General features: G+C 34.8%; 1 protein-coding gene across 5 annotated transcripts in view; it reads right to left on the reverse strand.

Annotated features, from left to right (window-relative positions):
* The window catches only part of RNGTT (RNA guanylyltransferase and 5'-phosphatase), a 353,722-nt gene that overhangs the window by 66,184 nt on the left and 271,745 nt on the right, over positions 1-15,793 (reverse strand). For all 5 annotated transcript variants that reach the window (NM_001286428.2, NM_001286426.2, NM_003800.5 and 2 more), the window contains one exon: positions 2,273-2,339. In NM_001286428.2, the coding sequence (NP_001273357.1) occupies positions 2,273-2,339 (67 nt within the window). The remainder of the gene's footprint in view (positions 1-2,272; positions 2,340-15,793) is intronic.

The raw sequence follows: 15,793 nt of genomic DNA on the forward strand, positions 1-15,793 counted from the left end.
AAAGGAACCTAGATTAGCCAAACAACATAGAAAAAGAACAAAGTTGGAGGATTTATACTACTTGACTTCATGATTTGTTATAAAGCTACAGTAATCAATATAGTGTGGTTATTGGTAGAGGAATAAACACATAGGTCAATGGAATGGAAGAGTCCAGAAATAGATTCACACATATATGGATAAACTGATTTTCAACAAAGCTGTAAGGTCTTTATTCTTTTCGAAAGTGCTTTTTGGAACATCTATATATCCACGTCTTGGAAAAAAATATGTTTGAGAGTAACATTCTGGAAAAAAAAGATGACAAAAAAAAAGAACATCAATCCATACTTGACTCTTCTATAAAAATTACCTCAAATGGACAATAAACCTAAATGTATAACTTAAAAGTATAAAACTTCTAGCAGAATACATACGAGAAAAATCTTTGTGACTTTGGGTTAGGAAAATATTTCTTAGATACAACAACAAAAGCATGAGCCATGAAAGAAAAATCAACTGAACTTCATCAATACTAAGAACTGCTCTTTGAGGACACTGTTAAGAGATGAAAAGACAACGATAGCTGGGAGAAAATAACTGCAAATCACAAATCTGATAAAGGACTTATATCCAGAAGATATAAAAAATGTTCAAAACTCAGTAAGAAAACAAAAAACCCAATTTTAAAATAACAAGATTTGAAGAAATACTTCACTAGAGAAGATATGAACATCCATTTCACTAGATTCAGATGGAAAAAAAGTACACGAAGAATCTCAGTCATTACGGAAATGTAATACAACTACCACATGACCCAGCCATTCCCCTCCTAGATATTTACCCAAGAGAAAGGAAAGCATAAGTCTATGCAAAACTCGTACACAAATGCTCACAGCAGCTTTATTTGTAATAGCCCCAAGCTAGAAACAACGCAAATGCCCATCAGCAGGTGAAAGGATAATCAAACAGTGCTATAGCCATACTACTAATGGCAAAAAAACACAATTACTTTTACACCAACCTGATACTTGGCAACAAAAAATAATAAACTAGCGATAAGTGCAATAATGTGGATGAATCTCAAAATAATTATGCTGAGTGAACGAAGGCAAAAAACAGAACAAGTGAATATACACTATATGATTTCACTTATATAAAGCTCTAGAAAATGCAAATTAATCTATAATAACAAAAATCAGATTACTGGTTGCCTGGAGACCAGGAAAAAAAAAAAAAAAAAGGAAGGGCAGGAGGGGGAAATTTCAAAGGGGCACAAGGAAACTTTCTGAAGTGATGAATGTTAATTATCTTGATTGCAGTGATGGTTTCACAACTACAAGCATGTCATAATTTATCAAATTGTACAGTTTATTGTTCTTCAATTAGATCTCAAAAAAGCTGTTAAAAACATTTTTGTTTTTCAAGGCAGAGTCTCACTCTGTCACCCAGGCTGGAATGCAGTGGTGTGATCATGGCTCACTGCAACCTTGACCTCCCAGGTTCAGGCGATCCTCTTGCCTCAGCCTTCCAAAAACCTGGGACAACTGCCATGGCCAGCGAAATTTTTTTTTTTACTATTTTGTAGAGATGAGGTTTCACTATGTTGCCCAGGCTAGTCTCGAACTTCTGGGCCCAAGCAATCTTCCAGCCCTGACCCTCCCACCTCGGCCTCAAAAAGCACTGGTAGTGCAGGCATGAGCCACCGTACCCGACTTGTAAACATTTTTTTAATGGCAAAAGGGATGATCTCAAAGATTAATCTCTAAATGTACTCTTCTAAATGAATCACTGAACTGTTTCGGTCAAAGTCAATTTTACTATGGCAAGAATATTAAAATAATCAATTCCTTTGAAAAGCTGAAAGATTTCTTCAGCAGAAATATGCAAAAGCTTATGAAATTATCACCTCACATTCACTTTTTTTTTTTTTTTTTTTTTTTTGAGACAGGGTCTCACTCTGTCACCCAGGCTGGAGTACAGTGGTGTGATCACGGCTCACTGCAGCCTCAAACTCATGGGGCTTAAGTGATCTTCCCACCTCAGCCTCCAGAGTAGCTGGGACTATAGGCACATGCCACTGAACTTGGCTAATGACAAAAAATTTTTCTTTTTGTAGAGACAGGGTTCCCAGCATGGTCTCAACCTCCTGGGCTCAAGTGATCCACCTGTCTTAGCCTCCCAAAGTGCTGGAACACGATATTTTTATATGTTGATTATTATTAGCAAGGTTTTGATGGATTCTAGATAAGAGAACATCCAGGAAAAGTACACTGAAAATGAACAAACATACCTTGATTTGTGCAAAGGGTCTTTCATAACCTCCAACATACAGGAGGCCAACATTCTGAGGAAGTAACCTACAAAGAAAAAAAAGCATTATTTATAAAATACTCCTTCTTATAAATAAGGTTGTATAATTATCAAAATTTGAATAATAGATATAATATAGATATACTATAAAATATATTAGATGGATGCTGTGAGAAAAGTAATAACTGTGTAATTATTCTTATCTTTCACACTATGAGATAGTAACCAGAAAATAAATAATTTTATATTTCAGAAAATAATGGGAGCCAAGTGTGGTTGTGTGTGCCTATAGTCCTAGTACCTCGACAGACTGAAGCAGGAGGATTGCTTGACTCCAGGAGTCCAAGGTTGTAGTGTGCTATGACTGCACCTGTGAATAGCCACTCCCTTTAGTCTGGGCAATATAACGAGACCCCATCTCAAATAATAATAATGATCAGTAAAATGTTGAGAATGAAAAATGTAGAACACTCTAATATATTAGTAATTCTAACAAAATTACAGAGGGCCCTTGAATAACACAAGTTTGAACAGCATGAGTCCACTTATACAGGGATCGTTTTTCAATAAAAGTTACACTGAGTGTGCCTGCCTCTCCTGCCTCCCCTTCCACCTCTTCCACCTCTTCTGCCTCTGCCACCACGGAGACAGCAAGACTAACCCCTCTTCCTCCTCCTTCTCAGCCTAGTCAACGTGAAGATAACAAGGATGAAGACCTGTATGATGATGCACCACCACTATGCACTGTACAGGAGATAATATAAACCTAAATATATCGTACCAAAATCTAACAGGAAAACCTGACAAATACCTATAACCTTAACAAAAGGTACCCTCCAATAAGGGGTATAACAGAGAAACTCACCATTGGAAAGTAGCGGAATAAAGGTATTTGCTATGAAGGGATCTGGAAAAGTTTGAATAGATGGGATTTGGGATTAGCCTCACTCAAAGAGTGGGTACACAAAGGGAGAAACTTACACAATGTCCTGAGAAAAAGATTTGAGATAAAGAGGGCACAAGTATGGACAGAGTAAGAAATAATTTAGTTGGAGATGAGAACTCGAAGTTTCAAATTAACCATGAAGAATTTCAAATGGCATATATTTTATTTTGCACGCAATATGGAGTCATATTAAAAGATGTACTTATTTCTTATAAAACAATAAACATGAAAATAAAAATCAAACCAAATAGAGGTCTAATATAAAAAAATGGTAATGGTTATGGTCTCTGCATTATCCCTTCCTTCTTATTCCCACAGTTCTAATATGCCCATCTCTCTTAAATGCAATGAAACATTGAGAATGAAGAAATACTATCATTATAACTGTGCTTGTGGAGTATGTAAGGAACTGGTAGTGGTACAGGGTATAGGAAGGACATAATTAAATATTCTTGTGTTTAACTGACCTAAATGTAGATATATCTCATCTTTCTTTTATCACAAATCTTTTCATAATGGACATTGTGAATAAATGGATACAACTCCAGTCTGAACACGATTACACATAAAGAAGAAGAAAAAAACTGCCCATATTCCTTGCCCAGAGGAACTATGCAACGTCACTTCTCAGAGTCTCAACATTAAAAGTTAATGGCCTTTTAACATAATAGAATTCTAATGATCTCTAGGATGACTATAAATTCCATTGCATGAATCTGAGAATGGAACACTGTGTGGTATCTAGAGTCAAAACAAAAAACTAAACAACAACTGCAAACTCAAAACAATCAAAAAGTTCTCGGCATGCCATACTGATATAATCATAGAAAATTAGAACACAAGATTATCGTAACCATCTCTTTTAAATTCTGTTAGTGATTTCAAAACCCTACTTCAACAATTCCAGGATATACATTTATTCATAATTTAACTTCTCTGAAATTGAAATGTCTGTGATGCTAGGTGGTATAATAATAATAACCAGGTGATTGTTGTGAGGTAGTTGTGTGATTACCCTTCATTGACATGGTCTACTAAGACCACGAAAGCAGTCTCAAAGCAACTTAGATTCTATGAAATAAGGTAGATATTTAGTCTCCTGGGAATATCCCCTGTCCCCTACGTTCTATAAGAGCCTACAGGCCAGGCGTGGTGGCTCACACCTGTAATCCCAGCACTTTGGGAAGCCGAGGAGGGGGGATCACCTGAGGTCAGGAGTTTGAGACCAGCCTGACCAACATGGAGAAACCCCGTCTCTACTAAAAATACAAAAATTAGCCAGGCGTGGTGGCGCATGCTTGTAATCCCAGCTACTCAGGAGGCTTAGGCAGAAGAATCGCTTGAACTCAGGAGGCAGAGGTTGCAGTGAGCCGAGATCACGCCATTGCACTCCAGCCCGGGCAAGAAGAGCAAAACTCTATCTCAAAAAAAAAAAAAAAAGCCTACAAAGTATTAAAGGGTCACTAAGAGAATATTAATAGCTGCTAAATACAATTCTGAATTAAGCCAACTTAGCAAAAAGTTTTTCTTACATTTGGAATGTAAGTGATGACATCATAATTTGAAACATACTGTTGATGGTTACAAACACGACTAAAGGCATTTGTTTAGTAGATTCAAATAGGAAATGTCCCCTAATCTAAGAAATGGAGAATTTCTTGGCCCATCATTTGACAAATAAGAAATTAACCAACAAAACTTTAAATCGCTCCCAAATCATTGCTGGTATCATAAATTGAATGTTAGTTATATATAGCAGTAGTTTAATTTATTTCCTATATAACAAATGTTCACAGAAAGCTTGATAAAACCTCCTTTAGCAGCAGGAACAGTCACTGTTCATACAAATAGATGCTAGAAAAGGAAAAGAATAAAAGCTGCCTGATATTTAAAAATCAATATGCCTCTAAATTACTATGCATATGCATTTCAGGAAGTTTGCCAATATACTATTTAGTGTGTCCCTCCCTCCAACTTGCCTAATAACTACCTTTCCCTAAATAAGAAATTTCTTAAATATATCAGTTGGCACATATATATGTATGTATGTATATTTCACTTTTAAAAAACACTGTTCTTTCTTATTCATATACTTCTTTCTTATTCATTATCCCTTACCATATATTATATTACCACCTTTGTTTGAGTGGATTTTAACATGTGTCATAATTTAAAGGCCTGCTATGCATAAGATAATACTTTGAGAACACAAATTCTCACTTTTAAAATGGATTTCTTTAAATACTTTTAACTTTCAAAAATTATTTTAACAAATTGTATATGTAATTATAGTCAAGTAATATGTAACACTTCATCATGCACGGTGCTTATATACAATATAGCAATCACACATTTTAAATTCCCAGAGTAAAGCATTAATTCAGCACTAATAAACACATTTATATGTATATTTTAAAATAGAAACCCTGACTCACTTGGTACCAGGTAATTGTTTTGCCCTTAAGTTAGGCGAACATTACCATAACCTTTATACAAATGCTAACAACTGTAAGATATTTGCTTGCAACTAAATACTTCTATACTGTGGCTACCAAAGAGGATGTTTTGGAAAGTAGCAATAAGGAGGCATTGTTGGACAAAAACAATTTATCACAGCTTTAGAAGTTAATAGGCAAGACTAATATCCATTTTGCTTTCAATTTTCCAAACACAAACATTAACCAATATGTATTCTGAAAAGAAAGCCCCAAAATTGTTTCCAGAAAAGTTTCTCATAAAAGAAAGTAGAACTTGTCAGGTAATAGAATAAACATTTAAAAGAACTTCACTCACCCAATATTGATGATACATCAAACACAGAAAAACTGCTTTAAAAGTAAATTGAGTCTGTAATTATTTCAAATTAAAAGTTTAAAAGGAGCAAGGGATTCTTTCTAAAAATAAGCTAAATAACTCAAAATTAACTGTTCTATCTACAAGCCATAACTATAGTACCCGTTATCAGATATATTTTTAAATTGCAACAAAATACCTTGAAACAACTTATAGCACCTTGAATACTGACTTACATAAAATTCCACTGCTTAGGAAGTTATCCAAAGACCAGACTACATCCAATACATCTACTATTAGAAAACAAACAACCAAACAAATAGAAAGCAAATACACTGAATATAGGATCAGTAGTGCCATCTTCAACTTAAGAAAATGCATATCATTGATAAGGTCTACATTACTCTTTGAATCTTCTAGTGGGATGTAAATTTAAAAAGTGTATTCCATAAAGCACATTTTTTTTCCTTTTTTTAAAATTTCCAACTTTTATTTTAAGTTCCGGGGTACGTGTGCAGAATGTGCAAGTTTGTTACATCAGTACACATGTGCCATGATGGTGTGCTGCAAAGATCATCCCATCACCCAGGTATTAAGCCCAGCATCCACTAGCTACTCTTCCTGATCCTCTCCTTCCTCCCACATAAAGCAAATTTTGAACAAATAAAATAATGCAGATCATAGCCTCAGAACATAACTCAGCTAGAAATCAATAACATATAAGTAACCAGAAAAATCTCCATGTCTGTAAAGACAGAAGTGTACTTATAAATAACCCATAGATCAGAGGTAAAATCATAATTGAAATTATGAAATGTCTTCAACCAAATAGCAAAATAACAATATATCAAAACTTGTAGGTTGCAGTTAAATCCAAGTTATAAAGAAATTTACAATCCAAAATATATATATGAAAAAGAAGAAATGCTTTATAGAAATTGATGAGTTAAGTATCCACCTCAAGAAATTAGAAAAATGACAGTAACTGAAACCCAACAAAAATAGAAGCAAAGAGATAACAATTAGCAGAAATTCATGAAACGGAAAACACACTGGAGAGTATCAAAAACACTAAAAACTATTCCTTCTAAGACAATAATTGAATTGATTCTGAATGAGGCTGACAAAGAAAACACACAAATAATCAGTAGGACAAAGAAAAAAGAAAACAGCCTAAATGTAGTAATAAATAATAAGAGGATATTATAAATACTTTTATCCCAACAAGTTTCAAAAGTCAGAATAGAGACACTCCTAGAAAAATATAATGCACTAAAACTGACACAAGAAAAAAATAGAAAATCTTAGATGTCTCCCATAAACAATTTTAAATTACTCCACAAAGCAAGCAAAAGGTCTAGCAAATTCACCAGCAAATTCTACCAAAATTAATTCTAATTACACACAAATTTTTCCAGAAAATAGAAAAGAATATTTCCCAATTAATTTTATAAAGTTAGCATAACTTTGACATGGACACAAAATGCAATGTGGATTCAGAGAATAAGAAAACAAGCCACAGACTGGGAAAAAAATATTTTCAAAAGACATGTGAAAAATAAGTTTCATCCAAAATATTCAACAAACTATTAAAACTTAACAGTAAGAAAATAAACAAGTTTGCTTGGCATGGTGGCTCATGCCTGTAATCCCAGCACTCTGAGAGGACAAGGTTGGAGGATCACTTGAGGCCAAGAGTTCCAGACCAGCCTGGGCAACATAGCAAGACTTCGTCTCTACAAAAAGTATAAAAAGTAGCTGGGCACGGTGGCATGTGTCTGTAGTCCCAGCTACTCAGGAAGCTGATGCAGGAGGATCTCATGAGTCCATGAGTTAAAGGTTACAGTGAGTCATGAATGCACCACTGTACTCCAGCCTGAGTGACAGCAAAAACCCGTCTCTAAAAACAAAAATTTAGAAAAAGAAAAAAATAATAATCTGATTTAAAAATGAGCAAAAGACTGGAACAGAAACCTCACAAAAGAAGATATGCAGATAGCAAGTGGTTATATGAAAAGATGCTCAAGTCTCATATGTCATTAGGGAAATACAAACTGAAGTAACACTAAGATACTACAACACACCTATGAGAATGGCCAAAATCCAGAACACTGACACCACCAATGCCGGCAAGGATGTGGAGCAACAGGAACTCGCGAGCATTGCTGGTGGGAATGCAAAATAGCATAGCCCCTTTGGAAGACAGTTTAGTGGTTTCTTACAAAACTGAATATACCCTTACCACATGACCCAATAATCATCTTCCTTGGTATTTACTCAAATAAATAGAAAATGTATGTCCATACAAAAAACCTGCACATGGGTGTTTATAGCGGCTTTATTCATTATTGCCAAAACTTGGAAGCAACCAAGATGTCCTTGAATAGGTGAAAATAAATGATGGTACACACAGGCAATGCAATATTATTCAATGCCAAAAATAAATGAGCTATCAAGCCACGAAAAGACACAGAGGAAAGTAACAGTATAAGAAGTCAATCTTAAAAGCCTAAACATTGTATGATCCAACTATATGATATTCTGAGAAAGGCAAAAGGATTTTTTTAAGGCAGTGAAACCATTCTGTATACTATAATGCTAGATATATGTCATTATACATTTGTCAAAACACCACCAAGAGTAAACCTTAATGCAAACTACAGACTTTAGTGATAATTACATGTCAACATAGGTTCATCAACTCTAATAAATGTAGCACTCTGATGCAGAGTACTGATAGTGGGGGAGGGCCATGCATGTGTGGGGCAGGTAGCATATGAGAACTGTCTGTACTTTCTGCTCAACTTTTGCTATGAACCTAAAACTGCTCTAAAAGATCAAGTCTATTTAAAGAAAGAAATGACCTATGAAGCTACAGAAAGACACGGAAGAAATCTAAATGAATATCACTAAGTGAATGAAGCCTATCTAAAAAGACTACATACTATATGATTCTAGCTATATGACATTCGGAAGAGGCAAAACTATAGCGGCAAGATCAGTGATTGCCAGGAGATCAGGGGGAGGAAAAAAGGAACAAATGGATGTTGCACAGGAAATTTTCAGAGCAGAAAACTAGTCTGTATAATACTGTAATGGTTGATATCATCTGTACATCATGAATCTGTCTAAATCCATAGCACTATAAAACACAGCTAAACCCAATGGAAACTATGGACTTTAGTTAGTAATATAACCAATTTGTCCATCAATTGTAACAAATGTACCACACTAGTGCAACATGATAAGGGAAACTGTATGCCGAAAGAGAAAGGGTATCTAGGAAATCTCTGCACTTTGTTTAATTTTCCATAAATGTGGAAAAAGACCTATGAAAATGTCATTAATTTTTTTAAAAAATGCAATGTTGAAGTAAAAGAAAGGAAACATACAATATAGGCCAACTTCAGAGAGGAGAGGGGAGAAGGGGGGAGGATGAGGAGGGAAAAGGAGGAAAGAGGGAAGGGAAGGGGAAAGGGAAGAAAAAAGAAGCAAAGAAAACCATCAAATTGGGTTTATTCTAAAAATCATTTAATATTAAATAACTCACCATTGTAACTACCTGAGAAACAGGATGGGGGGAAAGACTGTATTGTTATAATGGCAGAAAAGGTATTTGAAAAAACTAAACACCCTTGTATAAGTACTCTCAGCAAATAAGGAAGAGAAGCTAACTTTTTCAATTTTATCTAAATGATCTAAGTAAATAAATAAATCAAATCCTAGAGGAAACACACTTAATGGGGAAATTTTAAAATTTTAGATGGAGAAGAATGCAAAAACACCTTCTATCACCATTTTTGTTTAACAATGTACTAGAGGTCCTAGCCAGTCTATTAAGGCAAGGAAAAACATGATCTAAGGTTTAGAGGGAAAAAAGCTCACATTATTCATAAACATAATATATATACATATGTATTCCCCCCAAAATGCAGAAAAATTATTAGGATTAATCAATGAATTTATAATAAGATTCCTGGATACTAGATCAATTAGAGAAAAATAGCAGTTGTATTACCAGCAACATGCAGTTAAAAAATGAAACTATGGATGATCCAATTCAAAATGAAATGATAAAAAATATTTTTAATCTAGGAATAAAACTAACAAAAGAAGTGAAAGACCTTAATTAATAAAAGTATCAAACATTATTGCAAGAAATTTAAGAAAACCTAAGTAAATGAAAGAATACAACATGTTCATAGGTAGGAAATTACAACACTGTTACCACATAAAATGTTCACAACCCAATTTATATATTAAATGCAATCTAAAAACTCCTGACAGAATTTGTATGAGAAACTTTATAAGCTCATTCGAAAATATATGAGGAAAAGCAAAACAACAAAAATATTAAAAATCATCCTAAAGAAGAACAAAGTAGGAGGACTTGCTTACTAGATATCAAGACTTCTTCTCATGAAGCTTTAGCAATAATGAAAATGTGATTGACGTAAGGACAAACAAGTACGTCAGTAGAATAGAACAGAGAACCTAGAAACAGACCTACGCATAGGCACTGAATTTATAACAAAGGTGGCACTGCAGAGCAGAAGTGAAAGGATAATCTTTCTAATAAATAGTGCAGGGATAACTGGCTATCCACACAGATGAAAATAATGCCATACAGGAAAATACTGGTATATCTGTCTACATTAAAATTAATAATTTATGTTTATCAAGAGATAGACTAAGATCCAAACTTCGCACAAGTCACAAGAATAAACTCCAAATGGATTGGGAATCTAAGTACAAAAAAAGGAGAAACCTTACAAGTATTAAAAGAAAACCTGAGTAAATTCCTCTTCAATCTTGATATAACAAGGAAATAAGAGAAAATGTTGGTAAATCATACTATGTAAAAATTTTTTTAAATGGCATGGCAAAAAAACACCATAAACAAAGTCAAAAGATAACTGACAAACTGGGAGAAAATATTTGTAACATATACCACAGAAAAGGGACTACTAACTTTAATATATAAAGAACTCTTAAACATTGAGAAGAAATGGGAAAAACACATTAAAAAGATAATTCAAAAATATAAAACATGGACATTAAGCGTATGTAAAAATATTCAAACTCACTTGTAACTAGAAAAATGCAAATTAAAACAACACTGAGATACAATTCCCACTTACCAGATTGGCAAAATTAAAAGGTATGGACCACACATTCTGCTGGCCAGGCTGTGGAAAACAGACACTCTCGTATACTACTATTGGAAATGCAAACTAGTATAACCCGTCTGGAGGGAAATTTGGCAAAACTACACATGCACTTAGCTTTTGACCCAGTCATCTTCCTTCTGACAATGTCCTTGAAGATGTACCTCCAAAAACTAAAAAATACATATACACAAGGCTATTTATTGCAGCACTGTTTGCAGTTGCAAAATGTTAAGGACAACCCAAACGCTCAGACATGGCAGAGTGGTTAAATAAGCTACGGTTAAATCCACACAGTGGAATAATATGCAGCGGTAAAAAATGAGGACAATCTCTACTTACCAATAGGAAATGATTTCCAGGATATATTTACTGTGTTAAGTGAAAAAAAGAAGGCGCAAGAGAGGATATATAGTATGCTATCCTTTGGTAAAGAAAAAGTACAAAACATTCATGTGTCTGTTTCTTTGTACAAAGGAATTACAGGAAGGCTAAAACAGAAACTAAAGAGACTGGTTTCCCATGAGGGATAGGTGAAAACAGGTAGAAATCATGGGGGAATAAAAATAGGGCAGCAGGATGAGTGAAGAGTGACATATCTATGAGAGTATCTTTTTATACAGTTAGGACTTAGAACCATTACAATGTTTCATATACCAAACGATCAATTAAAATCAATCAGTATGTTGAGAGAACCTAAAAAGGAATGAAAATAATTATATTTACAAATGAATAATACACATGAAGGGGGATGGGGACGAAAAGGAGCTAATTTAAGTAACTTCAGAAAATAGTATTTTGACTATATTCTCTAAGGCTACCAACAAAAAGAAATGTAGACAAACACTGTACTTAAGTCAATAAACTTGTTTCTCATATGGGTACTGGTTAGTAATTATGAAAATATATACTAGGATTTAACAAACAAATATATCATGGATAAAGAGATGCAGGTTTCTCACTGTACAAAGAGTTACAAATAAGAAAAGGAGAAAGGACAGAATTAACATTTTGATGTTGGATAAGGACTATCAGTAAGGCCTCATGCCTTTTAATATACTGACAGATGGAAGAAGAAATAAATACAAATATACACGTAGGTGCTTGTTAGTATATGATACATTCCTAGCTCTGTCAACAGAGAGGGCTTAGAATGACAACCAGAAGCAATGACCACACCTAGGATTAGATTTTTATTTCTAACTATCATTCACCAATAAAAGAAACCAGGGCTCCTTAGAGAAACAGCTAATTCCTGGGCCGAGGAAAGAAAATAGAAGATTCTGTAACATCTTATGGTACTAGAAAGTAAGGAAGTACTGAAAAATGATGGAAAGCATGTCAAAAAGACACAGAAGCCAACTTGAAAGAGTTCCCAATGGTCAAAATCAAAACACTAAAATAAAATTATAGTATTGGATTATAACCCATAAAATAAAATACAGCTCTGACCCTTGAATAACATGGGTTTGAACCACGTAGGTCCACTTATACGCAGATTTCTTCCACCTCTGTCCTCACTGAGACAGCAAGAACAACCCCTCCTCTTCCTCAGCCTTCACAATGATGACAAGGATGAAGACTTTTAGGATGATCCACTCAAGTCTAATGAATAGCATATTTATTTTCTCTTCCTTGTTATTTTCTTAATATTTTCTTTTCTCTAGCTTTATTATAAGAATATAGTGTATAACACATGTAACTACAAAATACATGTTAATTGACTGTGTATGTTATTGGTAAGGCTTCCAGTCAACAGTAAGCTATTAGTAGTTAGGTTTGGGGGGGAGTCAAAAATTATATGCAGATTTTCTACTGCAAGGGAGTCAGTGCCCTTGCATTGTTCATGGGTCATCTTTATTCTTAAGTCCATACCAATAGGCCAGGTGTGGTGGCTCACATCTATAATCCCAGCACTTTGGGAGGCCAAGGCAGGAGGACTGCTTGAGGCCAGGAGTTCAAGACCAGCCTAGTCAACATAGTGAGAACTTGTCTCTATAAAAAATAAACAAGTACATTTTTTAAAAAGTCTATACCAGGCCAGGTGTGGTGGCTCACACCTATAATCCCAGCACTTTGGGAGGTGGGCAGATCACCTAAGGTCAGCGGTTCGAGACCAGCCTGACCGATGTGGCGAAACCCCGTCTCTACTAAAAATACAAAAATTAGCCAGGCATGGTGGCAGGTGCCTGTAATCCCAGTTACTCAGGAAGTTGAAGCAGGAGAATCACTTGAACCCAGGAGGCGGAGGTTGCAGTGAGCCGAGATCGCGCCATTGCACTCCAGCCTGGGGCAACAGAGTGAGACTCTGTCTCAAAAAAAAAAAAAAAGTCTATACCAATATAAATAAATTTATGAGAAGAGACAGTTCTTGTTTACAGTAAAATTTATCTTAATACATGAAAAAATAATGAGAAAAATTTAAATTCACCAATATTTAAAATATTTACCAAACTGAAATTTAAAACCACCACAGTAATAATTGTTGCAAGCAAAAAACATCAAAAGGTATTAAAATTAGAAAATGAAAGTTTAGTGAGAAACATTATATTGCATAGTCTCAAAGTTTCTCCCCAGAAAAACACGTAACAATTACAAAAAAAAAAAAAATAGCAACTTTAGAGAAACACTGCAAATAACCTTAACCAAGTAATTATGGTTAACTATCACCAGTATTAAAGCTTATCAACACACCCCCTTCACTACCAACATATAATGCACTGAGAAAAGCACTATTTTCATAAGTTCTTGCCAAAAAATGCAAAAGACCCAACTAAGTGACAGTCTACAAAATAACTGACCAGTATTCTTTTAAAAGTATCAAGGTCATGAAAAACAAGAAGAAAGTATTATCACAGATTGGATGAAAGAGCCATGACAACTAAATGTAATATAGGATCTTAGAGTGGATCCTAGATGAGAAAAAGTATATTATTGGGGAAACTGGCAAAATTAGAACAATAAATGTACATAAGTTGATAGCATTGTACCAATGTTTATTTTCAGATTTTAATAAATGTCCTATGGTTATGTAAGATATTAAAAATGGGGGAAACCACGTGAAAGATATACAGGAATACTCTATGAAATATTTTTGCAACTTTTCTGTAAGTCTAGAATTATTTTAAAATTAAAAAAAAAAATTGGTCGAGGGCAGTGGCTCACACCTATAATCCTAGCGCTTGAGGAGACCAAGGTGGGAGGATCACTTGAAGCCAGGAGCTCAAGACTGGCCTGGGCAATGTAGCAAGACCTTATGTCTACAATGATTTTTTTTTTTAAGTTAGTCAGGTATGGTGGCACGTACCTGTAGTCTCAGCTACCTGAGGCTGAGGTGAGAGGATTGCTTGATCCCAGGAATTTGAGACTGCAATAAGCTATGATCACACTACTGCAGTCCAGCCTCGGTGACAGAGTGAGACACCCCATCTCAAAAATAAATAAATAACATTTTAAAAAGTTAAAATGAGATCATTTAGAGACTGAAAGAAGCCACTGAGTAGATGAAATTTATAACACACATTATCTCCTAAGTTGAACATATGACTACTCTAGGATCTGGCAATTCCAATTTTGTGTGAATACATGTGTCCTAAAGTACATGTGCATTATGTTTGACTATTACTGGTAAGCACCTCAAACTGCTATCCATCAAGTGCCTATATATAATATTATACACCAATGAAAAGGAATGAATTCCATACAACATCATGAATGAATTTCAAAATCCTAATACTGAACAAAAGAAGCTACATGTCAAAGAGCAAAGTGTGGTTTGGATTTGTGTCCCCGCCCAAATCTCATGTCAAATTGTAATCCCCAATGTTGGAGGAGGGGCCTGGTGGGAGGTGACCAGCTCATGGGAATGGATTTCCCCCTTGCTGTTCTCATAATAGTGAATGAGTTCTCACGAGACATGGTTGTTTAAAAGTGTGTAGCACCTCCCCCTTTGCGCTCTCTTCCTCCTGCTCTGGCCATGTAAGATGTGCCTCCTTCCTGTTTGCCTTCCACCATGATTGTAAGTTTTCTGAGCCCTCCTTAGGCATGCTTCCTGTACCGTCTGCACAACTGTGAGTCAATTACACCTCTTTATAAATTACCCAGTCTTAGGTAGTTCTTTATAGCAATGCAAGAATGAACCAATACAGTTAAGTGCAAGAACAAACTAATACAGTTATATTTATGTAAGGATCAAAATCACGCAACAGCAAACACTAATTTTACAGATGACTACCTAAGTAGTAAAAGTGTAAAGAAGAGCAAAGAAGTAAAAACCACAGAGGTTGGGATACTGGCTATCTTTGGGTGGGAGAAAGCTGTGATTGAAAAAAGGCATGTTAGGGCCTCTAGGATGCTGGCAATATTATTTTTATTGCCCTAAGTAGTTATTAAATGGGTGTTAGTTACATAAAATTTCATTAAGCTGTATATTTATGTTTTATGAACTTCCTACATGGGTATTGTATTTCATAATATAAAAGGTTGTAATACATAATACAAAAAGCACAAAGAAAAAACCAACATAAGCAATCAGTAAGAGAGACAGATTGACTCCTAAACAAGGGGTATAATATTAATTGATATATTAACATAT

This window comes from Homo sapiens, chromosome 6 (genome assembly GCF_000001405.40).
Source record: "Homo sapiens chromosome 6, GRCh38.p14 Primary Assembly".
NCBI lineage: Eukaryota > Metazoa > Chordata > Mammalia > Primates > Hominidae > Homo > Homo sapiens.